Below are 6,669 nucleotides of genomic sequence, written 5' to 3'. Positions count from 1 at the left end.
CTTCGGGATCTAAGACAAATTTACCTAATTGTGCCACATCCAGTTATTTTCTGTTTTTTGTCAACAATGTCCTCCACACTGACTTTTGTCAAATGTCCCAGGTATTCTGAGCTTCCAAATCTGCTTAATTCATTATGATGTAATTCTGCCATTTGAATATTTACTTTTGTTTGCTTTTAGTTTGTTTCCTCCGTTTTCTTTTTCCTGTATTATTTCTCTTTTCCAGCCTTTCTGTGGTTCCTTGAATATTTTTAGAATTCCATCTTGATTTATGTATAGTGTCTTCGACTATATTGCTTCGCATAGTTTTCTTAGTTAAGTATCACAGTATACATATGTAATTTATCACAGTCTACTAGTATTTATATTTTGCTGGTTCAGGCGAGGTTTAGAAATTTTGTACCCACTTGGCTCCCTTTATCCTCTCCACTTTTAAATGTAATTGTTTTAAATATTTTCTCTACATACATTGAGTAGCTCATCAGATGATGTAATAATTTTTCTTTCAACCATTGAATATGATTTAAGAAATGAGTGAGAATATTCTATCTCTGTATTCATTCTAATACTTTTTTTTTTTTGAGGCAAGATGTCACTCTGTCACCCAGGCTGAAGTGCAGTAGCATGATTATGGCTCACTGCTGTTTCGACTTTCCCAGCTCAAGTCATCTTCCCACCTTAGTCTCCTGAGTAGCTGGGACCACAGGCATGCACCACTACACCTGTGTTTTTATTGTTTATTTGTAGAGGCAGGATCTCCCTATGTTGCCCAGGCTGGTCTCAAATTCCTGGGCTCAAGAGATCCTCCTACCATGGCTACCCAAAGTGCTAAGATTCAGGCATGAGCCACCATGCCTGGCCCTCATTCCTATATATATATATTTTTTTTTTTCTTCTGAAGTTTTAGGCTACTTCATTGTCATTTCCTTTAGGTTTAATAAACTTCCTTTAGCCTTCTTTAACACAGGTCTGCTAGTGACAAATTTATTTAATTTTTCTTTATCTGAGAATGCCTTTATTTCCATTTCAGTCTTGTAGGATGTTTTTTTCAGGTATAGAATTAGTGCTTAATAGTTCTTTTCTCACAGAAATTCACAAGTGTGCCATTTCCTCCTGGCCTCCCTGGTTTTAGATGAGAAATCTGCTGCCACTGACATTGGTGTTTCCCTGAGTGTGATACGTTGTTTCCCTCTGGATGTTTTCAAGACTATTTATTTATGTAGCTTCCAGAAATTAATTATGATATGTATTCTTGAAGATTTGAGTTTTTCTAGTTGGTATTCTTGCATCTATACATTTGTTTCTTTGGCTAAATTTGAAAATTTTTCTGCCATTATTGTTTCAAATACTTTCTCTGTCCTTCTGTCCTTCTGGGTTTTTGATGAAATGAATATCAATTCATGTGTTATTGTCCCACCTGCCTCTGGAATTGTTTATCTGCTTTTCAGTCTATTTTATCTTTGTTGTTCAAATTAGGTAAGTTATCTCAATCTCTCACTAAGTTCATTGATTCTGTCCTCTGACTGTTGAGCTCATTCTGTGAGAATTTTTAGTCATTATATTTTTCCGTTCTATAATTTCCCTTTGGTTCTGCTTTATGATTTTTTTCTTTGCAGAGATTTCTTAATTTTTTTTGTTTCAATGGAATTTGTAATTGTTTGTTTGAAGCACCTTTATGATGACGGGTTTTAAAATCTTTGCTGAGTAATTCTAATATCTGCATTATCTTGATGCTGGCATCTGCTGATTGTCGGTTTTCATTCCAGTTGTGATTTTCCTGATTCTTAGTATAATTAATGAATTTCAAATATGTCCTGGACATTTTGGATAGAGTTTTTTTTTATCAGACTCTGGATTCTACTTAATTTTCTTTCTAATCACGCTCCCTGCCTGTTGAGGTGTGGTTGGAGGCCCAGGTGTGTGTTTTTGCTGTTTCTTGCTGGGCTCTGAAAGCACCACCCCAGCATATGTGGGATACTGACTCAGTCTGCCTCCATCATGGAGGAAGTGGACATCCAGCTTTGCCTGTGGCCCCACTGACATTTTTACTTTGAAAGAGGTGCACTGACTAACACCACCTCCTTGCTTCCGAGTGGGATTGCACGCAAGCTCAGCCCCGCATGAGGCGCCCTGACACTATGGAAGGAGTGGGGAGAAGCAAAGTGCCAACCAGTCCCACCCCTGATCACCTCATTCTACCTTGTTGCTGCTGGTTGAGTGGGGGCTCAGCTCCCAGTCAATCCTTCTAATGCTTGCGGGGGATGTAGCCATGGAGCTCTGATGATCCCCGCTTCACACCGGCTTGCCCTATAATCCCTGGGTGGAAGTGGAGGCTGAGCTCAGAGTTGGACCCTGATGACACTATCTTATTGTGGGAATCTGAGGAGCGCCTGCTTCCATGATCTTCCATTGAACATTAGCTAAATACTTAGCCACCAGCATCACTCCACCGAAGCGTCTAGCATGCTGGCCCCCACTTTAGTGGGGCGAGATGGTAGTGTGGGAGTTCAGCCTCCTCCTCACCCCGCTGAAACGTCAAGGGCTGAGGTTATGTTTTTTCTGTTGGTGTTCGGCTGAAGTAGGGAGGTATTGCTAATACATATTAGTTTTGTTCTTAGGTTGCCCTATTCCTGGTCCTTTAGCCAGGGAATCACACATTTCTAGGAGTTGTATATGTTTGCCTCTGCTGGCCCTTGTGCGTTTGAGGCTTCTTCAGTGTCCTGTCTGGGATACGTGGGGGATATTTAGGAAACCCAGAGAACTCAGCCTGTGCCATTCCTCACATCCTCAGGCACCTCAGCAATTCTTTTCTTCTTTCATAGTCTCCTGTGGTTGTTGTGTTCTGTTCAGGGTTTATTAATTGTAAGACGGAGAAACTGGGAGGAATGGAATTATTCCTTTTTTTTTTTTTTTTAACGGAGTCTCGCTGTGTCACTCAGGCTGGAGTGTGGTGGTGCAATCTCGGCTCACTGCAACCTCTGCCTCCCGGGTTCATGAGATTCTCCTGCGTCACCCTCCAGAGGAGCTGGGACTACAGACGCCCACCACTGCACCCGGCTAATTTTTGTATTTTTAATAGAGGCAGGGTTTCACCATGTTGGCCAGGCTGTTCCTGAATCCCTGACCTCAGGTGATCTGCCCGCCTTAGCCTCCCAAAGTGCTAGGATTACAGGCGTGAGCCACCGCCTCCGGCCGAGATTATTCTATTCTTGCTGAAATGTTTCAATATGCTTTTGAAATAAAAGTGTGCTGCAATCTTGCCAATTAAGTACAAGTCTTAATAAGAAAAGTTTAGAATCAACAAGGGAGTAAATAATTTAATAAAAATGATTTATGAAATAGCATGGGCTATTGTAAATGACTCATAAAGCATCATGAATATATTTGCTTTGAAAGCAATTATGAGATCTCTTCAAAAGCTGACAAGCCCCACATCTGTGCTTTGTTGTTTTTGTTCATTTACTGGAAATCCTGTCTTTGAGACAAATCTTTAACTATATCTTCTTTTGGGGCTGAGTGGCTGTCAAACTGAGAAGATACAAGAGTGTCTGATAACGGGTAAAGGAAAACAAACAAAAAACACACACAAAGATTGAAGCCTTTCAGTGCAATAAGAGCACTCTCTTCTCTTGAGAGAATTCCTAATGACTTCTGGGAAGCTAAGAAGGGTCACAGAGTTTTCTATTTGCGAAACTCCAAGGTTTATTGGACGACATATAGCTGCTAAAAGAGAAGGCTTCTGGCATGTTGCAGAACTAGAAGCACAGATATTGCTCAGGGACCGTTAGTCACTGCCTTGGTTTACCGCCTTGGCTGACAATACTGATACTGAATTAATTCAGAAACAGGAGAGCACAGTTCTCATATATTGAAAGACAGATATTACCATAAGTTATTTTGGAATGGGAAAAATACAGTCAGAGGTACCACACAATGTCAGCTCCTTTCCCAACTCTGATAGGACTCGATTGATGTAGAAATTGTCCTTGGTAGAAGTCGACCACTGGGGAGCAATCCACAAAAGAAAAGCTTCCCAGACAGACACAGAGTCCACAAACACCACCTTGCCAGGGTGTTTCAAGTAAATTTAGGAATTGATCTATTGGCTACCTGAGTCCGGAATATGTAGTATAGGTGGGGGGCGGTGCATAGACAAATGGAGCCCCACCCAATCCATAACTTTACCTGGAATACCACATTTCTATGAATATGTGGAGTGTTCCGTGTATGTGTGTGTGTGAGTTTGTGTAAAATATATATCATTCCCTCTACATTGAATAGATATTTATTGCATATTGCAAATGTGCAACCAGCTTTGTGAGTAAAGAAGAAGAATCACATTGTGTTCCACATGGCCCTTGCTCTGAAGTCATTTTCAGTGTAGAGGTATGTGCATGTGTAGGGGATGGAGTGTACACAAGGAACAGAAAAAGTTATCTGTGAGGTCAAAATGATCATATCCGTGGGACCACAAGGCTTCATGTAGTGTTTGGACCACATGCTTATGATAGGCAGAGTTCTAATGATACCACCCCCACAAGACCCCCATCCCGGGTTATTCAATCAAACATGAAGCCAGGTACTGTTGTGAAGGGACTTTGCAGATGCAATTAAGTTACCAATTATCCGACTTTAAGATAAAGTAATTATACGTGTGGGTTGGCCCAGTGTAATCATATGAGCCCTCAAAACCTGGAAAACAGTCACATGCAGCAGGAAAGGGAGGTGGGAGAGAGAGAGAGGCCGAAGAAACCTGCAGCAGAAGAAGAACGCAGCAGAAGAAGAATCCAGCCCCCAACTGCTGGCTTGTTAGAAGGCCCTGAGCGAGGAATGTGGGCAGTGTCTCCTGGCTTGATAGAAGGCCCTGAGCGAGGAATGTGGTCAGCATCTCCTGGCTTGACAGAAGGCCCTGAGCGAGGAATGTGGGCAGTGTCTCCTGGCTTGTTAGAAGGCCGTGAGCGAGGAATGTGGGCAGCGTCTCCTGGCTTGATAGAAGGCCCTGAGCGAGGAATGTGGTCAGCGTCTCCTGGCTTGATAGAAGGCCCTAAGCGAGGAATGTGGGCAGCATCTCCTGGCTTGATAGAAGGTCATGAGTGAGGAGTGTGGGCAGCGTCTCTTGGCTTGATAGAAGGCCCTGAGTGAGGAGTGTGGGCAGCGTCTCCTGGCTTGCTAGAAGGTCATGAGCAAGGAATGTGGGCAGTGTCTCCAAACTGAGAATGGTGGCCAGCCAACAGTCAGCAAAGAATTAAGAACCTCAATCATGCAACCAGAATTTGCAGTGGAAGCATATTCTGCCAACAAATGGAATGAGACTGAAAAAGATTCACCCTCAACACCTCCAGAAAGGAACATCACCCTCTTAACACCTTCATCTTCACCTTTTGGAACTCTAAACAAAGAACTAGCTGAGCCATTTCGTACCCGAGCTTCTGCCCTGTAGAACTATGGAAAAATAAGTTTATTTTAAATTGTTAAATTTGTGTTAATTTTCTATAGCAGCAATAGAAACTAATGTAACAGGCTGCCCAGCATTGTTTATGAGAATTACAAACCGTTGTCTATTCATAATTCATTGTTCCTCCTGCCTCTCCTTGAGCTGTGCAGGTAGGAAGTAGCTCTACTGAAAATAGAAACTTGCAATTTCATTCATACAGAATTCCCCTGTTACGCACAAATAACCAGGTTCTCATGTTCCACTGTGCTCGGTCATTGGCTGGAACTGCCCAGGGTAACACCATCCTCTCCTGGGAGGCTGGGGCAGACCTGGGGGTGGCTGCGGCTGGAGGCTCCCCGCCAAGGCACGCCTGTTGCTGAGGTGCACTCTTGTAGCAGATGTGAGCAACACACGTCCCATCTGCCACACAGTCTGCAATGCAGCCAGAGAGAGGATCTGCCTCCATTTCTACTGATTAGCAAACAGGAGAAGCCAGGAAAGAAGCTTCTGCTATTTCAGCTCCTCTCCAGAGTCAGAGGTTTTCTTCCACAAGACTCATCATGTTGGTATTCTTAAAGATTATCAGTGACCAGATCAGGCAGTCGGACAGAAATAGTCTCTACAACTTTTGTGAAATTCATTTTGGAAAGCATAAAGGCATCTCAAATAACTGGTAGTTTTACTCCAAAAATGGACCAGGAGAAATATGTATTACCACTGATCCAGAAAAAAATACTCAGTATGGATGAAGATTCTGTAAATAGAGGAAAGTATGTTTTCTCTGTCAAAGACCTCAAAACCAGACATGAAATTGCAAGTGTCTATTTTCAATAGAATTTATATATATATATATATATACACACACACACACACAATGGAATATTATTTAGTCTTAAAAATAAGAAATTTTTGCCATTTGCAACAATGCGGTTGAAGTTGGAAGGCATTGTGCTAAGTGAATTAAGCCAGATGCAGAAAGCCAAATACTGCATGGTCTCATTTGCATGTGGAATCTAAAATAGTCAAACTCATAGAAATAGAGGGTAAAAGAGTGGTTACCGGGACCTGGGGTGGGGTGGGAGAAAATGAAACGGGGAGATATTGTTTGAAGGATACAAACTTTAGTAATGTAGGATAAGTAAGTCCTGCAGATCTAATGTACAGCATTGTGACTAAAGTTAACACTACTGTCTAGAATTCTTGAAATTTGTCAGGAAGGTGACACACACACACGG

General features: G+C 42.1%; 1 annotated feature.

The window, feature by feature from the left end:
• Positions 5,900-6,039: an enhancer, noted in NCBI's record as "active region_13489". NCBI's record gives its function as "activates an Ori minimal core promoter by ATAC-STARR-seq in GM12878 lymphoblastoid cells {active_cell/tissue: GM12878}" and the evidence as "EXISTENCE:reporter gene assay evidence [ECO:0000049][PMID:35858748]".

This window comes from Homo sapiens, chromosome 18 (assembly GCF_000001405.40).
Source record: "Homo sapiens chromosome 18, GRCh38.p14 Primary Assembly".
Lineage (NCBI taxonomy): Eukaryota > Metazoa > Chordata > Mammalia > Primates > Hominidae > Homo > Homo sapiens.
The sequence above is the reverse complement of the archived record's forward strand: the minus strand, read 5'-3'. Positions and strand labels throughout refer to the sequence as shown.